The sequence below is a fragment of the Homo sapiens genome, chromosome 7 (assembly GCF_000001405.40).
Source record: "Homo sapiens chromosome 7, GRCh38.p14 Primary Assembly".
In the NCBI taxonomy this organism is placed as follows: domain Eukaryota; kingdom Metazoa; phylum Chordata; class Mammalia; order Primates; family Hominidae; genus Homo; species Homo sapiens.
In genome coordinates, this window is record NC_000007.14 from 40,901,960 (window position 1) to 40,926,135 (window position 24,176).

At 40.6% G+C, this 24,176-nt stretch overlaps 1 protein-coding gene across 2 annotated transcripts in view; it reads left to right on the top strand.

Annotated features, from left to right (window-relative positions):
- The window catches only part of SUGCT (succinyl-CoA:glutarate-CoA transferase), a 903,812-nt gene that overhangs the window by 766,955 nt on the left and 112,681 nt on the right, over positions 1-24,176 (top strand). The gene's annotated exons all lie outside the window — the stretch shown is intronic.

Here is a 24,176-nt window from a genome sequence, read left to right on the forward strand (position 1 = left end):
GAATGGAGAGGCAAAGAGAGCTTGGGTTAAAACACAGTATCGTTTTCATGCCCCACTGGAAGTTACTGACATCCTCACATGGGCTCAGAATTCGAGCACGTGAGCTCACCTTCAACTTTAACAGCCTACATTCACCCAAGTGGTTCTGCAAAGAAATAAGAAACTGTGTTTTCCTTCCAAGTAACAGACACCGTGAAATGAGTGTTCAGGCTGGTTTCCCTGCAAATCCAGGCATCACAGAAAAACTTGTGACTACACAAACAAAAAAACAAGCATACATTATGTGGCCAGAATATGTTTATGTTTAATATATTTTTCAATTAAAAAAATCAAAACCAGCCGGGTGTGGTGGCTCACACCTGTAATCCCAGCACTTTAGGAGGCTTGAGGCAGGTGGATCACGAGGTCCGGAGACTGAGACCATCCTGGCTAATATGGTGAAACCCCATCTCTACTGAAAATACAAAAAAATTAACCGGGCTTGGTGGCATGCACCTGTAATCCCAGCTACTTAGGAGGCTGAGGCAGGAGAATCACTTGGACCCAGGAGGCAGAGGTTGCAGTGAGCTGAGATCCCGCCACTGCACTCCAGCCTGGGTGACAGAGTGAGACTCCATCTCAAAAAAAAAAAAAAGAGAAAAAAAAACCAAAACCACAAAGAATTAATGAGAGCAGCCTATCTATAAAGCCATCTCCTTGTATTTCTTTTGGAATCATTTAATAATGTTAAAATCTTAATATAAATGAAATCATATTTTCAACATGATTTTCAGGATTTGTATGTCTCTCTCTGTCTCTGTAAGTCTAAGCCAGGACCTTGACTGAAGAAAAGTATTCCTGCATCCAGTTCTGCTCTGGCCTCGTCTTTCTGAAAAGGCAGAGAAACAGAGGCTCCAAGAGATACCCTGTAGCTGAAAAAACCAAAATTGTTAAAACTAGAAAACACCATAGGCAATGAATTTAATCCTCTCCTGTTACAGAGGAGGGTCCAAGCTTTGAAAGATAAATTATTTCCCCAAGTTCAGATCTCCTGACTCCAAATCAAATTACTTTCTTTCATTTCTTTTCTTTTCTTTTCTTTTTTTTTTTTTGAGACGGAGTCTTGCTCTGTCCCCAGGCTGAAATGCAGTGGTGCGATCTCGGCTCACTGCAACCTCCGCCTCCCGGGTTCAAGTGATTCTTCTGCCTCAGCCTCCCAAGTAGCTGGGACTATAGGCGCGTGTCACCACTTGCAGGTAATCAAGTTACTATCTAGCCAAACTATCCACCTCTGAAGGGCTGTGCAGCTGGACGGAGGTGAGAGGGAGCTCTAAATGGGCTCCAGGCAGAACAGGTATCACTTGAGGGACAGCTCTCAGTGCAAGGATCCCCACTTACATCAGCGCCTAGACAGAGAATTATGGAAAGTAAATGGGGACAGAGTTCAGAAAGGGGGAGAAGAGGGCCAGGGGAGAAGAAGAGAAGGGCAGTGGCTCAGTAAGACCATAGCCTTTGCTAGGACACCAGTCTGTTGAGCCAGAAGTCCAATATGAGAACTTCCTTGGCCGTCGTTGGAAGTCCCCACACAGGTCTACTGGTGCCAAGTCACTTCTGGCTCTGAAAGGCCTGCCTTTTGGTTATATTCTCCCAGTACCTCAGAATGAACAACAACAACAAAAGCTTCATTTTACTTAGATAAACCCCCCTCTAGCAATCCCTGCAGAAAGACGAGTTCTTTCATCACACGCAAGGCAAGGGGTGGCACCCTGGGCTTTCAATGGGACCTGTTTGCAGCAGGAAACTGTCATTCTCTCCAGCCTTCATTTCCAAATGTTACCTTACATCCTCCTACCAAAAAGAAAGATTGCTATTGTTCAAAGGCCCTGAGAGGCTTGAAGGGTGCCTCTGTATCCCCAGTAGGGCTGAGATTGACAACTGACCTTGTGTCTTCTGCTCAGTAGCCATGAACCCAACAGCACTTGATATATTTGGGAATTGAGGACCACAAGAAAGATGAACCTCTTGGAAGGCAGTACTGGATGGCCGCTGCCCAAGCTTGGCGCAGCTTACATCACGCATACCATCCTTCCTAGCCGGCCAACCACCCTCAGCCTCTCTGGCAGGGTTCTCGCCAGCAATCATTACGACTTTATTATAGCCCCTTTCAGCAACTCATGAGTTTTTACAGCCAAATTACAAGTTTGTTTACAGTTAAGTAGCAGCGAGTACTTTTAAAGCAAGTACTGTAGATGTTTTTACGACTGAGTTTGCACCATCAGAAACATACCGAGTATATGGCAGGGCCCAGGACGCCAGGGAGGCTGTTTAGGATTCATCTAAATAGGGCAAATAAAGGGGCTTTGTGTTTGCCTCATGGAGGCAGGTCTCCACCAGGCCAAGGCTTGGATTTTACACCATGAGGTCTTTGTATATATACCAATGTGGGGTTCATCTGATAGTTTAAGGGACGTAATTTGCTTCATTAACTGTATTAAATATTAGAATAATTAGGTTATAATTTTAAAAATTATTGTCACATAATAGAATAGTCAAATTCATAGTGACAGAAAGTAGAATGGCCGTTTCCAGGGGTTGCAGGGTGGAAGGAATGAGGAATGGGGAGTTGGTGTTTAACAGGGACAGAGTTTCATTGTGAGAATATGAAAATCTTCTGGAGATGGATGGTGATGATGTTTGCACAGCAATGTGAATGTACTTGATGCCACTTAAAATGGTTGAGATGATACATGTTAAGTATATTTTGTTGCAATAAAAATATTTAGAAGCTGAAGACATATATTATTGCCTTCAGGTAGAGGATGGAGATTTAGGTTTAGGGAAGTAAGTATACACACATATATGTATATGTATATATGTGTGTGTAAAACAATCCCTTTTTCAAAACACATAGTTAACTTCCTATTCTTTCACTTTCTACTTTGATAACACCAATATCCAGATTTAGTACAAGATGTCTAAAACATTCTAGTTTTATCATATGAGCCAAGTTTGCCTGAAAACAAGTGGCGGATGGCATTTTTAGTGTGGTAAATAGTTTCATTACTTTCAAGTAAAATCTCTATAACATGGTTAACTCATGGAGTGAGATGTTCAATTCTGAAGAAACCTCTAATAGGATAACAATTTTCGAGCATTTTCTGTGATGGAATCACTCATAGTTGTTTGAGAACTTTGATACATATCTCCAACAAATAAATAAACTATTCGTATTGAGTAAATCTTTTTACTTGAATCATTTGGTTCATAAAAATGACTTACCTGCCATTTCCAAGCAGCAAGAAACCCTTGGTTGTGAGAAGACGATTCTGAACAATATGTGTATCTTAAGAGTGATTTTCTCATTGACTTAAAACATTCTCTCTTTTGATTACAACCTGAAGAATTTATGTTTTCTCACAAAAAAGCAGAACAAGTAAATATTAATGAAAAGAGATGATAAAAGGAAATAGAGCAAGCATAACTAATATTAATTATGATATTTGTAGGTTTTTTGTTTTAAAACAACAGAAATGTATTTCCTCCCAGTTCAAGTTTTTTATCACTACACTGCACTGTGTCTCATTCATATAACGCCATTTATTTTCTACATTTCCCTCTGAATGGCAAATTTCACAGTGGCCAAATATCGGTCTCTCTCATTCACTACTGTGTACTCAGGGTCTAGAACATTTCCTGGCATCTAATAGGTGCCTTGAAAAAAAATTGTTGTGGTAGAATACACATGACAAAAAATTTACCATTTTAAATTTTTTTTTTCTTTTTTTTTTTTCTTTAGAGGCAGGATCTCACTTTGTTACTCAGGCTGGAGGACTGCAGTGGTGCGATCATAGTTCATTGCAGCCTCAAATTCCTGGGCTCAAATGATCTTCCTGTCTCAGCCTCCCAAGTAGTTGGGACCCCAGGCACATGCCACCACACTGGCTAATTTTTAAATTTTTTGTAGAGATGGGGCCTCACTATGTTGCCCACGCTGGTCTCAAACTCTTGGCCTCAAGTGATCTTTGCACTTCCGCCTTGGCCTCCCAAAGTGCTGGGATTACAGGCATGAGCCACTGCACCCTGCCATCATTTTAACCATTTTTAAGTGTATAATTCAGCGGTATTAACTGCATTCATACTGTTGTGCAACCATCATCACCATCCATTTCCAGAGCTGTTTTTTGTTTTTGTTTTTTGTTTTTTTTTTTGCATCAAACTTCTCAACAGTAAAGACCGTGGTGGAGAACATTTTTGATAAACTCAAGGATTTGATCCAAGGAGCTTATGAACCAATGCTATCCCTCAACAGAATTGAGCATGCACAACTCAGGTGATCCTGTACTCTGAAACTTTCTTTCCACAGAACTATTCAAGGAGAAAAGCTTCATCCAAATCAGAGAGAACTGGGGAAACATTGGCCAAAGGACTAATAGTGAGTCTTGGATATATTTAATTATGGATCCCAAACTAAAATAAACGTAGGAACAACGGTAGAAAAATAATGTGTAATTTTTTATTGTCCTGACAAGTATGTGGGCCCTCCATATCTGTGGGTTCCACATCTTCAGATTAAAACAACTACAGATAGAAAATATTTTTTAAATGCAACAATAAAAAAATACAAATAAAAACAATAGAGTATAATGACTGTTTACACAGCATTTACACTGTGTTAGGTACTATAAGTAGTCTAGAGGTGATTTAAAATATGCAAGAGGATGTGCGTAGGTTATATGCAAATACTAAGCCGTTTTATATAAAGGACTCGAACATCCTTGGAATTTGATATGGGAGGTGTTGTCCTGGAACCGATATCCCATGGATACCATGCCTATATAATAATACAACTTTAAAAACTGGGAGAAAGGAGAGAGGAGAAGTAGAATAAGCACATTGATTGCTGCATAGGAAATAGATGGGAATTATAATTTTTAAGAACGCTCTATAACTTAGAGTTGACAAACCAAATAACAAATCTTCCCAGAGAGGGAGCATTCCTTCAAGCATTGCTGGCCTCCCAGAGACTCAAGGAGGTGCTGTTGTTAAGAGTCATGAGCTTAGCTGGTGCTTCTTTGTCTCCATAATAGGATGGGGCTTCAGTTCAGGGTAGGAAGATGGAAGTAGGTTATACTTGTTAGGAGAAATATTTGTTCTGATAGTGTGTGTGTGTGTGTGTGTGTGTGTGTGTGTGTGTGTGTGTGTGAGAGAGAGAGAGAGAGAGAGAGAAGATTGAGTGGGGACTTGGGTTTCTGCCTCAGAATCATGAACTTCACTGACTTCTAAACTCTTTCTTAGCTCAGAAATGCAGTATCAATGTCCTGACTGAGCTCACCCACTACTGTGTTATGTGTCATATTCCCAGACAGAAATCAACATCCCTGAAACATAATTCTATAAGGGGTGGTGTGTAATCTAGTTTTTACCTTCCTGGGCTTTGAATTCCTGATTCTAATTGCAAGGCAAGGCCCATAAATAACAGGTATAATAATACTCGTTTAATATAGCCAACACTTACTGAGTTATCATTCTGTCAGGCGCTAGCCTTGTAAAGCAGTGCCTAAATGTAGTTAACATTTAACTGTTACTGGTTTTATATGCATTGCCTCATCTAACGCTCACAAAAGACCCTATGAAGTAGGTGTTATTACTCTTCCCATTTCACAGCTGAAAAAACTGAAACTGAGATTAAGTATATTGCCTAATATCACATGGTTAGCAAGTTACAGAAAGGCCTTGAATCCAGATTTGTTTAACATCACAGCCTGTTCGCTTAACCACTCTGTTAATTCTGGAGGGATCTTTAACTCAGAATTGCATAAAGATGAGGCAAGGCCGTTGACAATGCCTGAGACACACTGCATTATACAGCTGTAATCTAAGATAAGTTTGACATCATCCTCACCAAAATTGAGATATTGTAACAAGAAAAGTTTATTAATTTATTTATCTTATGAGGGGAGTCAATACTCACCTTTTAATTCTAAACATTAGTAAATAAGGATCCAGTTTCATTACTTACAATGTTTAAAAGTAATTATCTAGTTTTTTTTTTGTAAGATGTATATGCAGATTGGTAAGAAAAATACTCACATCCAACCTCAACCTAACAGAAAAATTGGAAAGGCATCACCAGGACAGCCATTTAAAAGTATGGACCGGCCGGGTGCGGTGGCTCGCAACCTGTAACCCCGGCACTTTGGGAGGCTGAGGCAGGCGGATCACGAGGTCAGGAGATCGAGACCATTCTGGCTAACACGGTGAAACCCCATCTCTACTAAAAAAAAAATACAAAAAATTAGCTGGGCGTGGTGGCGGGTGCCTGTAGTCCCAGCTACTCAGGAAGCTGAGGCAGGAGAATGGTGTGAACCTGGGAGGTGGAGCTTGCAGTGAGCTGAGATCACGCCACTGCATTCCAACCTGGGGCACAGAGCGAGACTCTGTCTCAAAAAAAAAAAAAAAAAAGGACCACAAGTAGATGAAGTTTACTAGAAATCAAAGACATACAAATTAAAACTTAATAATATACCACTTTATTCTATCAAATGGAAATATTTTTAAAATTAATAACACACAATGTTTAAAAAGTATGAGGAAAGAAAGGCAACATTAGAAATAATTCAAAGAGCAATTTGGCCAAATATATCATAAGCTTTAACATTTGCATAGGCTTTGATACAGCCCTTCTTTTCCTTAACCTAGGAATTTGTAATACCATATAATATAAAAAATATAAAAATAGTTAACAGCAGAATATATAGCTACCAGATTTTTCATAGTAATATTGAATCAGGGAATTGGTTAAATAAACTTTGGAAGATTCTTACAATTTAATACCATGTGGCTATTAAACACATTGGAATATCTGTAGCTGTAGAAAAGCATGATGACTTAGTAAAGAAAATACAACAACTTACAAAGTAATATGGATTTTATTGAGTTCTACATGTGTACATGCGCTTTTCTGTATGTATATTTAAATTTTTTTAAATGACCATGGATGGTATGGTTTTATTTTTGAAAAGTATACATAGATACATCATATGCAGAAGAAAATCTTCAGAATGGAATACTCTAAAATACCCCCAAGACTATCTCTGGGTGGTCATTTAAGGTTTTTTCCCCACTTTATTGTGATGTGCTTTTTCTACAATGCATGTATACTGCAAGCACAATCATAAAATTTTATTAAGTAAAAGAGAGTGGAGACCCAATCTGTTGTGGCAGAAATACAGTCTCAGCCATTTCCAAAATCAACAGTTCCTTCTCGGGTCACCTGGACTGGAGCTCTGCCAAGGACAGGCCAAGGTCTGGAAAACAGTAGATCACTTGGTGATCCTGGAAGAACCTGGGAGCCACGCTGCTGGACACTCGATGTTTGGTTTCTGAGTGCGACTGGTCCAAACAGTGCGTGCCTCCACCTGTCTCTTTGACTTACTGCTCTGAAGCATGGCTACATGTCACCCCGGGGTTCGCTAGGCTCCTGCTCATGGGCTGTGGGCCAATGTTTAGTTCCTGAAGGTGTTGTATTTTCTGACAGTCAAAATTGGTTGCTAGATGCAGTGAAACATGAATACAACTGAGGTGTGGGCTGCAGACCTTCCTTTGATGTCACAGGGAGGAGAGAACTACGGGGGAGGCTATTCTTAGACATTGGAGTTCTCCTTCACTAACGACGGCCTTTGCTTGGCTTTTCATTCTGTGTAACTTCATCTGGAATTCTGTTTTCTCATTATTACCTGTTTCCAGATATTTCATGAGAGATTTCAACTACTCCACTTGTCTGATTATTCTGGCCCCTTCCAGACAGACCGGCTCCAAGGTTATGAGGTAGTTTGGACTCATCTCGTGGCTTTATCAGGAAGGTTTGCAGAAGAGTGAATTCATCTGTACGAAATTCCTTACTGAGTGGCGGCTTTTAGAGCCAACATGTCTGAGTCTAAAAACAGCAACTTGGTTAGACAGGGCCTCACCCAAGGGCATCTTCCAGGAAAGTGCTCACATTACCTGCTGACTTCTTGACTTGGGGTTCAACAGGCTAATTCACTTTTCATTTTCCTTGTTGGAAGCTGGTGGCAACAGGGAGAACATCCAGAGTTGGAAGACTGCAATCCAATCCAGCTGCTCTTGCCTTGACCTAGATGTAGGATTTGGTTTCTTTCCTTTTTTTTTTCCTTCTTGGTTTTCAACATGGAAAGTGCTTTCCTAAGACCTACCAGCACACAAAGAAGGATTCTCTGAAGGATCCATGGAATAGAGGAAGAGTTGGAGACAGGAAGCAATGGCAGGCTTAACCAGAAATGCACATCAAGCTGGAGACGGAAGACTAAGACCAGGTATGACAGATGTTAGGTCAAAATAGAAGAAAGATGGCAAAATGCCCAGTCTGAGAAGATTAACTTTTAATGGAGGGTAGCAAGAATTATAAACTTAGGTTGGTACTTGCTATCTACAGGAAATAGTTAACTTATCATGTGCTGGGTCAAGAGATATTGCAAGGCCTGCCTGTAAAAATATGGAACATTTTTATAATGACATAAGCTTGAAAGTTGATCCATGCTTACAAAGTGTGCTGCAGTGCAAACAGAGAGGGGACATAATGGCAGTTAGAAGGGAAGTAATGAGAAGTAAGAATGCCTGCCTATGTGTCTAGTACTGATCAAGGATTCCAGTGACCGCTCTGACAGTGTTATTTTGGTGACTTTGGAAGATCCGGTCAGCCTTTGCTCTATTTGGTTCCTCTGCACTTGCATCCATTGATAAGTGCTAATAATAATGGTAACCCCATGTTCCCCTTTATGGAAAGCAGGAAGCACACTTACTATACCTCTCTATGACCAGCACCCAGCATAGCCCATGGCACACAACAAATCCAAAATATATACACTAATTTGGCATGTATTTAATGATTTCCTTTTACATATAGAAATGATGGTAGGCCCCAGGAAAAGTCAAAATGACTTTACAAAGAAATTTTTGATTGGTTTGTTAGTAGTAAAGACCATCCTGGCAATGGATTGTGTTTTCAGGAAAGAAATAGAACTCAGAGAAGGAGGAGGTTCTGATAATAGGTACTAAAAATAAATCTGGGCTTTATTAATTGAAACCTTTGTACCCCCTCCCATCTTCATTTCCCTTCCCTTCGCCATGGCTGACAGGCATAACTTTCCATTCTTTCTGAATGCTTATCCCAAAGTAGCCATGAGTGACTTTCCTGATACTGCTTCGGGGGTGGGATAAGTTCAGAAGAACTAAGAAGATAAACAACAAACAAAGCAAAACATTACAAAATAAGCAAAGAAACAGTACAAGCCACCAAAAGTTGTATCAAAGTCTAGATTATTAAGACATTGTACTTGCTGTTTTGGAAATACTCTTCTGAACTTTGAGTACAGTTCAAAGTCAATGACATTATTTTAAAATCTTCTATGTGAGAGCTGCTACAAGAACAATTGTATAGTGATTAAAATTAAAAAAAAATTTTTAGTTGGGTGTGGTGGCACACACCTGTAGTCCCAGTTACTGGGGAGGCTGAAGTAGGAGGGTCAACTGAGCCCGGGAGGTCAAGGCTACAGTGAGCCGTGATTGCGCCACTGCACTCCAGCCTGGGTGGCAGAGTGAGACCCTGTCTCAAAAAAAAAAAAAAAAAGTCTCTCAACTTTGGCACTTTGGGGCCCAGATAATTCTTTGTTGTGGGGGCTGTCCTGTGTGCATTGTAGGATGTTTGGCAGCATTACTGGCCTATATACACTAGATGCCAGTAATTTCCTCCCAATTAGTGACAACCAAAAATGTCTCCACACATTGCCAAATGTCATGCAAATCATGCTTAGTTAAGAACCATCGGTATAAAGGAACCATGAAAAGCAGTTTTCTTGGTCTTGTTTCTTACATCCCTGAGTTCACATGCTGAAGGAATTGTAGTAACTATGAACTCATGCAGGAGGGAGGGCATGGTGTGTGTGTGGATGTACGCGTGTGTGTGCACAGGTGTCAGCTAATCATATATGAAGATTGGTGGAAATGTTGAAAATTTAAATTTAAGGTCTGTTGGTATTTCGTCCTAAGCACTCTTCCCCAAGGTCTGGCGTTTCAAGAAACTATTGGCTTTTATATGACAAATTTACTGCCCTGAAATTTATTGAGGAATAGAGGATGCTTCACTTCAACTTACTGTGACAGCTTGCTTTTTTTTTCTTGAAGAACTAGGCCTTACACATTATCCTACAAAAGTTTTAATTCAATGTTTACAATACCTATCTTTCTATTAATTTAGATTGGCCACATTTATGATACATTAGGCCTGTATTTTATGTGTTATTTTTAAATTCTTGCCCATTTTATGGTACTGGGGTCAAAATTTTACTAATTCAGATGATTTTAGAGGTTTATGGTTGTTGTATCTTGCTTGTATGACATTTTGTTAGTTATATCTGTGATTTATCTGTTGCTGAGTCCTTGGTCAGGAACACAACTCCCAATTATCCAACCAATTATAACATTGTTCCATGGGAAAACTTTAGCAGCTGAAACTGTTGACTCAGTATAATAAAAAAGAGCAGCTTAATATCAGATAAACTAAAATAAAATTTTGTTTTGGTCGACAGTTGCCAACATTTACAAGGCAAGTCATGAGAAACTCCATCTATCATTAACTTATCCTGTGTATTTTCCTGTCCTAGATGGGCCTGTGCTGATAGCATTTTTGTAGTCAAGATGTGTCCATCTTTGTAAGAATTGTTCTTAGTTTCCAAATTAAAAACAATTGCTTCATTACTACATGACACAGTAGTCTGTGTTCTGAAAGACTACATGTTCAGGCAATTAAACGTTTCCAAAAAAAAAAAAAAAAAAAGCTGACTTCACCATAATGCAACGTGGAGTTCACTATTTAGTTTTCACAATAGAATGCTACTTTTCTGTCAGTCAACTTGTACTCCATCAATATTTAATGATGCTGTTTAGATACTTGATGCACTTGTCTGAGAATATACCCCTGATCTGACTGCTCCAGTCCTGCCATCTCCTGCTATCCTTCACCATCCTTCCTGACTACAGAATTGCTGGATCCAATTTTTTTTTTTTTTTTTTTTTGAGATGTAATCTCCCTCTGTCGCTGGCCTGGAGTGCAGTGGCGCGATCTTGGCTCACTGCAACCTCTGCCTCCCGGGTTCAAGTGATTCTCCTGCCTCAGCCTCCCGAGTACCTGGGACTACAGGCGTGTGCCACCACGCCCAGCTAATTTTTTGTACTTTTAGTAGAGACGGGGTTTCACCATGTTAGCCAGGATGGATCCAACCTTTGATGGACACACCATAAGCAGTGGGGCTCAGGACATGGAGAAACGCCATCACATGCCACTATGCCACATGCACATTGATTTTATAACACATCCTGGTTTTAGAAATATTAAAATGGAAAAAAATTGTACATCTTAAAACTAAGAACATCACATGGTCCCCCAAATTTCCATTAGTCCACCCAAAGTAAATATACAATCTAAATAAAACAGTACCCTTGCTATGAAAATTCAATTTCAAGATAAGTTTTCTTGTCCCATATTCCAACTGCATTTTTGCTTTTAGAAAGAAATTCCAGAGCATGTACTACAAGAATGTCTTAATGAGATTTTGCCAAAATAATGCTGCCTACCAAATAATCTCAAAACTTGGTAGCTGACAACACAAGCATTTGTTCTCCCCATTCACTATTTTGCATGCTGACTTGCAGTTCAGCTGGTCTAGAATGGACTCATCTAGTTGTCTTTGCTTCAGGCTGTGGGCTCGCTGGATTCAGATCTGCTATATGTGTTTTTATTCTGGGGCCCAGGTTAAAGGGGCAGCTCTATCTGCAGTATGCTCCTCTCATGGTGATTACCAAAGCACAAGAGCCAAACTGAAATGCACAAGCTCATGGAAGACCTCTTCATGTCATGGCCACTAACATTCCATTCACTATAGAAAATCATATGGCCAGGTCTGGCATCAGTGGAGTCAGGAAAACAAATTTCACCCACACAAGAAAGGGAAATAAATAAATATTTGCAGAACAATAATCCTATCACAAAAATATGGCATTTGACAATGAGACTAAACATGCTGTTAAGTCAAGATTTTTTTTTTTTCAGTTTTTTTTTTTAGCTTACTCTTGAGTTAGCTCAGACAACACCACTTCTACGTATCTAATTTTTGTCTGGGGATTTTCCCCTTCCCCTCTTTCAGTCCCTAATGTCTGGAAAGGGTTCCAGGCTTGTCCTAAGAGTGACACACATCACTCAAAGTCCAATTACATTTCCTTTGTCACAGTGCTCAATGCATTTTATTTATTTATTTTTTTCTTTTTCTTTTTTTTTTTTATTATACTTTAAGTTTTAGGGTACATGTGCACATTGTGCAGGTTAGTTACATATGTATACATGTGCCATGCTGGTGCGCTGCACCCACTAACTCGTCATCTAGCATTAGGTTAGGACAAGGCTGATGAGACCTTCTTTTCAGCCCTCTACAAAGCCAGGTCTTCTCCTGGGCTTTTCAGTTTTGTCACCCAATTAATGGCTATGCTTGATACCTCAGATTTAAAAACTTTACCACGGATAAGATCTTTACACAGAAATCATTGTCAGGAGTAGAGTATAGTAGAGTATAGTAAATATTAGATCTTAAAATATGAAAACGCTAGGCTGAGGAAGTAGAGTGGAAGGCACTGAGAACCCCTATTCACAGCTTAGAAGTTGGCGTTTTATGTTGTTTGGTAGTGTAGCCATATCTTACACTGCTGTATCTCAGACCTCAAACCATAGGCCTATAGAGGCTGCAGCATTATGGAATTTGGAGGAGAAATTCAGGATATTGAAACACATGCCTGCCTTTTGTGGCCTTTTAGAAGGCACAATAAAGGTCCCACCAGAATTAGACAAACTGATGTTGAACCTTCTATATCTGAAATCAGAGAGGAAGGAAAATACAATTTGGCTAAGAGATGCCTTTCTGCATGAACCCTGTAAAATAAGGAAGATGAGAATTGGGTGATCTGGAATTTTGCAGGTTTAGAAAAGTTTATTCTTACCGTAATCATAAATTAGTGCAAACCTAATCAGGAAGATAGGGATCGTATCAGAAAATACCATTAGAATGTGGGGCTAACTTCTTTTCCGATCACTGCTGAGCATATCTTGTTCCCTACGTGACAAAGAGGATAATGACCCACATTCTTAAGGTGCGGCTGGTTGGTGCCTGAGTGCCAGATGAGTTTTCTTACCTCAACTATTGTTTCAAATTGCTCTGGGCAGTACAAAGTCGAAGGTCACTAAGGGAAAGACTTCAGGGATGGACAGAGCACCGGTCTTATCACTGAGAAAGAGAAATTCTCAGGCTGGAATCCAATTTCAAGGATCATGACTCAACAAGATATCTGGAGACTGGCTTATGGAGTTCAGTATATGAAACTAGGTAAGACCTCAAATGTTCCTAAAGGAGGAGCCAGACAATTCATAGGAGGAATTGTCTATGAATGTTTAGTCTCTAAGAAAACCCTGAGGTCTAAGAAATGTTGTCAACAACAACAGTAATAACAACAACAAAAACAGGCTAATAATGGGGACAGTTTTGGCAATGCCGTGTTAAGATATGGTCACAGAAAACAAAAGACCAAGAGGATTCTACCAAAAGCAGAAAAGGTAGCCATAAAGGCAGAGGACAGGAGCCATTCTCTCAGAGGGAAGAGCAGGAAGAACTTGACAAGCTGGGCAAGGAACTCATTCTCCTGCTGGGACAGGCAGCCCTTCCCATTCCTGTCCAGCTGTGTGTGCATTCATTAATTCAGCAAATACTACTGTACCTACTATGTTCCAGACAATGTAGAAATACATAAGTAAATAAAATAGAATTTGATACATGCATTGAATCAATGATTACTAATGTTTCCCATCGCACCCTGTTTTTTTGGTTCTCTCTCCACCATTGTATATTGGGCATGTTGGGTACCTTGTGAGAACTGCACATCACCCATTAATCTTAAACTTGAAGTGGGGTGAAACCATCAAATGAGATTTTACTTTTTCTTTCTGGAGACTGAGTGAGTATATTATATATGTCATATATGGATGTGGGACACTCTCTCTCTCTCTCTCTCTACATACACACACACACACACACACACACACACACACACAGATATACATATTAGCACTAGAATTGTATATGAATGTTAGGCAGCCAAGAGATTAACCGCAGTGGGTGGTTGCTATTTGTTTCTCCATCACCTGTTTCTTCTTCTTTCAGTACCAGACCTAATATTTTGTATGGGATCTACTTCTTCTCAGTCCACACAGTCTAGGTATGGGTCCACTTACAGCTCTAGAAATGAAGTGCATGATGTAGTCCTAAGTCATTCTGATTGCAGTGGTTGATTGAAGGATGGGTATGAATGGAGCAAGTCCAGTTAAAGTGAATCCCAGGATGTGGACCATGTTAGGAAAGACTCTCACTAGTTACTACTAGATTTTAACCTGGCATTAGGTAGCTCATGAGCTTCTGACATCTTGTGAGGATGAAGGAGGAGTCTTTTTGAGAATGAAGCCAATACAGATGAAAAGAGATAAACTGAATCCTGATAACATCATGTGGGTAATAGCATCCTATCATAACTGAATCTAGGTCTACACTTGAATACTTCTCTTTCTGAATCAGTAAGCTGACATTTTAATTACATTCTACTATCTGGTGTTTGATTTTTCAATTACTTAAAAAACAACTTTATGTATGTGCATGTGTTTGTATGTATGTGTACAGAAAAGACAAAGACATGCTACTGGCACTTTTTGAGGGTCAGACTGTGTAGGCTTTAACATTTATTATTCATTTGTTTCTTTATACACACAGATATTATACTTTAAAAATGTCCATACATGAAGCTATTGACAAAGCCTTATGGAGTCTGGAGTAGTTACAGAATTAGAAACACATGATTGATTGACCATAACTAAGAGTGCAGAATGTCGGAATCTATTGGTTCAAGTAAATAAGGAGTCATAAAAAACACTGTAGATAAAAGAGGGCCCCAGGAACTGAATATGTTAAGTAATCTTCTCGTCTGACAAAGTAGCCTGGGAATGTCCAACACAGCAATAAGCTATTATTCAACAGACCCAGTGAGGGACATCAGGAGTTCCTCAATCATACAATGTAGATTTCTTTTCCTCTGGGTTGAGAAGCATTAGCTCCCCATGGGGGAAGACTTTGGACAAAAATTCATGACTGTCAACTCTAGTAAACTTTTTTTGTATCTTCGACTCTTCTAATCATTATAAAATGACCTTACAATGTTTTCTATAATTGAAAAATACTATGTAATTCCCTTTAGAAGAAGGAGCAGTTCTTGGTTTTATTACCCATCTTACCCACAGTTTCTACCATACATAAGTTAGGGTAGTAGGTTACTCTTATAAAAATATTTCCTCAAATTTAGAGGCTCAAAGAACAAGAAGTTAATTTTTCTCTAGAAGTTCAAGATGAGAGGTCAAGGTCTCTGGGATGTACGCAGCCACCCAGATTCCTCTCCTTTTGTGACCACATCATCCTTTAGGGCCTTGCCATCATCTGCATGGTAGAGACTGAGTTACAGACATACCCAGGATCTAGGCTGCAGGAGGAGAGAAGAAGCCAGTTGTCTCAGTTCAAGCTGCTATAACAACAACAACAAAAACAAACTTGGTGGCTTATAAACAACAAACATGTTTCTCACAGTATTGGAGACTGAGACATCCAAGAACAAGGCACTGGCAGATTTGGCCTTTGGCGAGGGCCCTCTTCATGGTTTGCAGATGGCCACCTTCTTGCTGGGTCCTCAGATGGTAGAGAGAAGAACCTCTGGCATCCCTTTCTCCTCTCACAAGGGCACTAATCTTAGAATGAGGGCTCTGCTCTCATGACCTCATCTAATCCTAATTATCTCTCAAAGGCTCCATCTCTTAATACCATCACATTGGGGGTTAGGACTTCACCATATATATTTTGGCTGGATACAATCATTCAGTTCATAATACTCATCCACATCCTGAAGGCCTAGATATAGGAGGGCAGGCACTTTCCATTGGAGAAAACCCAGTTAGAGGATCACTACATGGAGAGGTGGGAAATGTTTCCTAGCCATGAGCCTAGAGGCAGGAGAATAAAATTGGGTGGAAAATAAGTCTCTTCATCTCCTCATACCCCCCTGAAAAGGGTCTTTGGTAAAAAGGGGAAAATAGGCCAGTCGCGGTGGTTCACACCTGTAATCCCAGCACTTTGGGAGGCCAAGGCGGGCGGATCACGAGGTCAGGAGTTTGAGACCAGCCTGACCAACATGGTGAAACCCTGTCTCTACTAAAAATACAAACATTAGCCGGGCATGGTGGCGTGTGCTTGTAATCCCAGCTACTCAGGAGGCTGAGGTAGGAGAATCACTTGAACCCGGGAGGCAGAGGTTGCAGTGAGCCAAGATTGTGCCACTGCACTCCAGTCTGGGCGACAGAGCGAGACTCTGTCTCAAAAAAAAAAAAAAAAAAGGTTTGGGGGATATAGAAAAATCTGTTAGTCTATTACAGCCCCAAAGCTATGATGATAAGAGGAAAGTCAAGTTAGCATGGGAATAATCTACTTGTTTTAGAGACATTACCTTCTATCAGACCTTATAACCATTCTCCAGGTTGAAATGCAATGGAACCCACTGAGTGAGACCAGAATTCTGGAAGATGATCGAAATAAAAGGATAGAACAAGGAGGGAGGGGAGAGAGAATGTATTCCTTGGTGCCCATCCTAGCTTTAGAAATCTTTGTTTATGACTGAAATTCCATTCTTAGTGGTTCATTTCTTTGGTATTCAAATACTCAAACAGCCAGAGTTCCTTAGAGTCTAAATTCCACAAGACAGGGTAATACTTTTAATCTCTTATATCACTGTTTTATACAAATATGCTTATGTCATTGTCAGAAGGATCTGGTATCTGTGGGACTCTGAATAGATGGAAAAGTTCCCTCACAAGTGGTGATGAGAGAAAAGTTACCTCACAAGTGGTGATGAGAGAAAAGTTACCTGACACACTCTGGCTTATTTCACAGGCATGGAGCGCCATCCACTTAGCTGCTGGGGTTTTCCTGAGTTTTATCTTTCCTCTCTACTCATTCTAAGTGTTCTTTCTGGATGAGCTCACTGAATCACATGCCTTTAACCACCTGCTAGCCACAGATAACTCACACATTTATTTCTGTAGCCCTGACCTCTCCTCAGGCTTCCACTCATTTGCTCAGGGACTACCAGATATCTCTACCTGCATGTCCCACGGACACTTCAAACTCACTCTGTCTAACACTCTACTCATCTTTCCCTAAAAGTAAGCTTCCTCCTGGATTGTCTGTTATTTGTTGGTGCCAGCATCCACCCAATTATCTCAACCAGGCACTGGGAAATTACCTTTGAATCAACCATCTTCACCATTTTCTGTTTAATCACTCAGAAAGTCCTATTCATTTTACCTCCTAAATGACCCCAAACGGGGGGTTCTTAATATATTGTTTATGATCCTGTATACAGAAGTGTTGTAACGACTGATTGACAGGTTTCCTCATCCTAGCTTTGCTCCTTCCTCATTGCCCCCACTCCAATACATTTCAGATTGTTGCTAATAAAATACACAGAACTCCAACCCAAGGTTTCTTAATTTATCTTTTATGATCCTGTATACAGAAGTATTATAATAACTGATTGACAGGTCTCCTTGTTCTAGTTTCCTCCTTCCCCACTGCCCCCACCCCACTACATTTTTAGATTGTTGCTAGAAGGACCTACCTGACCATCTAACTTACTTGTGTAATACTTTTCCACAACTCCCAATTACCTGACAAAGTCCTACATGTTCAGAACACAGCCAGGCCTTTCACAGCCTGACTCCTCCTGATTCTTCACATGCATCTCCCAGAGCTCCTTTAACAGCCCTTCTGCACCTTCCCTTCTAGCATTAGCTCCAATTGCCTGAACACATCTTGCTGATCCAGTGTGTGGCTCATGCTTCTTTCTTCCTCCATAGTTTTTATCATGGTGTTGCCTCCTTTTCTTTTATAACTCAGCCTGGGAGCACCTTCTCGGAGGTATCTTTCTTGACTACCTTCTTCCACCTCCTCTACTTGGTTAAAGGCCCCTCTGAGTGCTTCCATAGTCCCCTATACATTCCAGAATTATTTCTCCACTTATGACCTTGTGTTGAAGTCATTTATATTTCTAGCTCACTGGTTAGATTGTCATTTTCTCATAGAAGGAACCATATCTCGGTCTCTTCTTTCCTAAGTGCCTAGATATGGCATATATGATGCCCATGATAAATATTTCTCCCGTTGAATTGGCTTCTTCTGTGAGGAAAGTATGCCCTGTGCAGGACAAATGACAATTATGAGTGAGATTAACAAGAATATCACCAGAAGCCCTGGAAAGTTCAATATCTGCTATCACCTGACCTGTACCTGCTGATATTGCCAAAAAGAAAGGGCTGAAGGAGAGGGTGGGACTTCTCCAGGAATGACTGAAAAATGCACCCCCAACTCAGCCCATTTGGAAGCGAGGTGGTCCAGCTACTTCCTGTTGGCATGTGGTCATGTCAGAGCCTCAGACATGAATTGGGCTTCAGTTTTATTGTTGTTTGTCAGTTGGTTGGTTTTATTTCTTCTTTCTCTTTCATTATTCTTTGTCTAAACAGGAAAATCATCCTCCCAAATTGTTGATTGGCAGATCTTCTATTTGTCAATGTATCTCTAGATCCCCAGATGAAAGAGAAAGGATGGACTACCTTTAGATATTATCAGAGAGCAAAGGAGACACAGCATGAGAGAATGTAGCCAAGAGATAAATAAAAATAAAATGAAAGATAAGCAAGTTTAAGGTTTAAATACTTAATACCTTGTTTTCTGAAAGCCTCAGAAGGAAAAGAAAAGAACAAAATGCCAAGCGTGTTCATTTGGATGGTAATTAAATTGCAGTCCCATTGCTGTGATTAGTATTCCTGTGCTATGCTCACTTTAAGGAAGTGGACAGGTTGGTGTTGGCCCTGAGGGTAATTGTTTCTGGGTCAGGTACTGTTAGCTCCACACTCTATGCCTGTATCTCCCATCACAGGTTGGATGTTATTGGCACCTTCCTGCATTTGCCAGTGCTCTAGGGATACAGATGGAAATGTGTTAGTATAAATCAAAAATATTCATATTGTAAGAATCACTTTAATAGGTGCTTGTAAGGTGAAAATTCTGGTTTTAAATTAAATTTTATTTTATTTATTTATTTTTTTACAAAATAATATATTATTTGGAAGCGAGGTGAATAAATTTGTATGTGGACTATAGGGGCCTTTTAAAAACAAAGAAGCACAGGTCCCTGAACCTTGTGTTTTCAAAATCCAAAGTTGCTGCACTCCGCCAGGGTGGAAAGGTCCTAGTGAGAGGGAATAGCAAGGGTTCTGAAATAAAACCTCCATGGAGGTAGAGAGAGGCTGGGGGCCATGTGCACCTTCGTACTGAAGCAGGTCATCAGGGTGCTCAGATCTCACCTAGGTGAAGCAGGCGGCACTGGGAGACCAGGCTTAGTGTAGGCTGGAATACTCTTCACCTCGAAGAACTCCTGGAGCTAGGTCAGGACTCTAAACTTTCTCCAGTGGCAAAGAAGAGCCCAGTAAGCAAGAACAGCACAATCAGATGCCTCGGCTTTTCCCAGCTGTCATCTCCTGCAGAGGCCTTTGTCTGCTTCCAAAGCTACCAACCCCCGGGGGTGGTGGCTGTAACCTCCTGCTTTTCGTGGGCCTCAGCTCGAAAGTGAGGTTGCCCACTGCACTTTGAGAGGTTTGTGTGGGTGTGTGCATGTATGAGCATGCAAGGAAAGGCTCTAGACTGGAGCTGAGGACAATCTCACAATAGGGAGGTGGCAGTTCCAGCCATTTATTTAGAACATTAAAATTAAATATTGCCATCTTTTTCTCTCTACCCTGGAGAAGTTGCATATATCCATAACATGAATATAAATCGTAGTGAAGTCAGTTAAGTTGCAGATTCAAAAGAGACACCAGTGTTCCTATATTAACTCAGATGTGTTAGAAAGGAAAAAAATGTATCTTCCCGTATTTGTCACCCCCTGGATTGTTTCCATGGTTATCCAATGCTATGAGGAGAGACACTTGGTTTTTACTCCAGGGTTTAGAGGGGTGAGGAGTTCCTTAATGATTAAGCTTAGCATTCTTCCAAATCGGACTATGTCTTCTAGTGACCCCTTTTGGGCTTAGTAAAGTATTTGTCACCTATCCCAGAGTTTCTGTAAAATTGATCAGGAAAGAGGTGATGTTGTTTCACCTGGCTTCCCTGGTGGTAGGAGCACCAGCACTCCAAGTCCTAATTTCAGGAAACTCTTTGGCTCTTTGCCTGTGCTTTTTAAGACCTGGGTGCTTCTGAAGAGAACACCTTCCTTCTTCATTAGGTGGCTCTTGCAGTCTGCCTCATATTCACGCCTCAGGAGTCAGAGAGCTTGACTCATGGGGCAGGGTTCTTAGTCCTTGCCAAGGAGACAGAGACAGCAGCCTTGGGCAAAACTGACATCACATGCATACTTTAAAAGGAAGCAAAAAACACAAGGTTTCTTTACTGAGAGTGTAGAAATCAACAATGACTGTAGCTTCTCTTGAAAGAATCCACTGGTATATTTCACTTCATCCAAAATAGAGCAAAATTCAAGGAGAGGCCACATGAGCTTTGGGTTAGTAAATTGAAAGGTGCCCTTGACAGTTGCCTCGAGTTGGAGTTAGTAACTTTCTCATAATGGTGAGTGGAGTTTTACCTTGCAATAAGTGCCACACATAGCTGACTTGCCTTCAGACATATTTCTTTACAGGCCTCTATCTTTCCCCTCTTTGCCCCGGTGGTATTTCCTGCCCTTTGGCTGTTTTACACAGGCATGGGCAATACCAAGTAATTACTAATAGGAGATTTGCCCTCTGAGCTGTCTTGAAAGTGCCCAGCTCTTAGCTACTGGACAGACCCTTTGGTAGAAGGCCATTTTGTATGTGCTTCTGGGAAGATTAGAAAGCTGAGATGGGTGGAGAGGTAGACATCAAGGCCAGCGCTTTCAAGATTCAGTTGGAGCCTCTATAAAATAGAAATTGAGGGAGACTCCTTAGCCTATAAATGTGAAGAAAGAGGAGAAAGAGATGAGCAGTGTTTTGTCCTGGGTGTGCACCCTGTGGAGATTTTGTATAGGAACTTAGGCCCCTTGGTTCCCTACCTGGTTTTAAAAGCATTGCAGTTACTTGGCAAGTTACCATCAGAGAACATCATAGAATTGTCTGCTATTTATGTTGAAGATATTACATGCAGGAGACATTTATTCTGAAAAAATGCCTTTTGAGAATCAGAAAAAACAAGGGCATTTAGCAGTTTTGACAAGAATTCTAGCTCACATAGTGATTTTTGGCTTGGTCATTGATAATCATTAACCATGGTTTTGCACCATTTACCCATTCAGAGCACAAAGCTCTTAGGTAGAGAGTCAATAATCAACGTTGAAATTGAAACATGTTCTGTTACCTTAATTCAAGGAGACAGAAAATAATTTTCAGAATTTCTGGCTTGAGAATAAATTCACAGGCCCCTAAATCTTCTCTCCTCTAAGGAAAAAGCACTGACTGGTCAAGGTTCTTCTTGGGGACCACCAGATTCCCCAGGCCTGCAATTTTCTCTAGTCCATCAATATTGCCTACATCCTTGGCAAAAATATGGTATTTGGTGTTTCAGATCCCATTCTAAGTTATCTTCTCTGCTTTTCTAAATGAGTGCTTCTCATTCTTCTAGTCTTTATTTCTTTAGTGTCAGTTGAGTCATCCTGGAGGCCGTGGATCTTGATCTCCATGAACTGTGAATAGAAACATTTCCCTGCTGATGATAAACTTCCTCATTTGATACTGTGGTCTGAATGTTTGTGTCCCCCACAAATTCATATATTAACAGGCAGGAACTTTGCAAGGTGATTTGATCATGAGGGCAGAGTTCTCTCATGAATGGGATTAGTGCCCTTATAAAAGAGGTCTGAGGGAGCTTATTTGCCCCTTCTACCAGTTGAGGTCACATAGAAAGCAGTATCTATAAGGAACTGGCCCTCACCAGCCACTAAATCTGGTGGTGCCTTGAATTTGGACTTTCCAGCCTCCAGAACTGTGAGCAATAAATTTCTATTGTTTATATGTTATCCAGTGTTAAATATTTTGTTAAAGCACCCCAAACTGACTAAGACATTTTATCTTCAGCCAAGGTGGCCTGGATCTTTCAATTACGTGTGTGTGTGTGTGTGTGTGTGTGTGTGTAGTGGCATGATCTCAGTTTACTGCAACCTCTGCCTCCCCAGCTCAAGTGATCCCCCCACCTCAGCTTCCAAATAGCTGGGACCACAGGCATGCACCAGCATGCACCACTATGCTCAGATAATTTTTGTATTTTTAGTAGAGATGGGGCATTGCCAGGTTGCCCCACCCAGCTGGTCTCAAACTCCTGAGCTCAAGCGATCTGCCTGTCTTGGCCTCTGAAGGTGCTGGGATTACAGGCATGAGCCACTATGCCCAGACTCAATTTTCTATATTAGACCCTACAGGAAGATGCTCCAGGACTGGCTTGGATGATTAGCCCATCAGTCATCAGCATGGATCCAAGGACCTCAGCTCTCTCCTTCAACTAGGTATCCATTACAAGACACTCTTAAACATGGAGGACTATCTCTGGGGCTCAGATTTACAGTGTGCATAACGTACAGGCCATGAAACTAATAATTTAATGCTCAGATGGAGTGAACAAAGGAAGAAAACATAGGCAGTGCTTGTTATTAATTCTGTATCATCAGTACTTTAGTAAAGTCAAGGTGAACTTTCTTCATTCACAGATTGTAAGATGCTTTCATGTCATTATGTGTAACTATAGCACATTTATTTTTATGCTATATAATCTATCACAAATATCATGATGTATTCATTCTCTAGTCATATGGATATTGTGTTGCTATGAAGATTCTTGTACATGACTCCCAGTGTACCACATGTAAGTTTCTCCAAGTCTGGTGTATACACCTAAAGCTTTTTGCAGTCTCTGTTTTTAGAAGGAAGAGAGCTATAGCAGGCCACAGCTTGCAGAGCTTAATTAATGATATCTCTGGGTTATAATAGCCCCTGACTAACCCTTGGAATAAAATTTACTTTTCTTAAGCAAATCCTGACTTTCTATTTTTATGAGAATTTTCTATACTTTCTGACAGTAGTCAAAAGCTAAAATTCACACTGAAAATGGTTTCTTATCTTATGGGATGAACCCACATGATATTCCCCCATGTAAAGACTGGTTTCTGCATGACTCTTTCAATTTGAATTGTTTCAGGGAAAGGAATGGTCTTGTCTGACTTGCTTTTTAATATGCCTAATAGAATACAATCACAATGAATTCATCCTCCTCAGTTGTCCACATGTATATCATCTTCCCAGAGATAACTATTGTGACAAACCTTGGCATTCTTTCAGCTTTTTGAGATATTAGCTCTATTTAATTTTAAGTGGTATTATTCCCTATTCTGCAGAGCCGCTCAGATAAAGCTCAATAGGTGTTCTCTTCATCACAGAACAACTCTTTTGGGCTTGGTGGTTTACATGAGTCTGGAGAAACCCCAGTTGAGAGCAGGGAGGAGAAAGTAGCTGAACCGGATACCAAGATAAGAAAACTGGACCAGCTTCCAATCCCATCCAAAATGATGTATTCACAATACAAATTTATGGAACCTCAGCAGAGTCACGAATCATACTCAAGCCAAAAGCACTGGTTAAGGTGTCATTTAAAATTTCTTGCCAGTCATGATGGCTCATGCCTGCAATTCCAACAATTTGGGAGGCTGAGATGGGGGGACTGCTTGAGTCCAGGAGTTTGAGACCAGCCTGGGCAACATGGCGAAACTCCATCTCTACAAAAAATCCAAGAATTATCCAGGCATGGTGGCACATGCCTGTAATCCTAGCTACTTAGGAGGCCAAGGTGGGAGGATTGCTTGAGCCAGGAGTTTGAGGTTGCAGTGAACTATGATCCCATGATCACGCCACTGCACTCCAGCCTGGGTGACAGAGCAAGTTCCTGTTTAAAAAAAAAAAATCCCACTCCACTGCTCATTCTGCT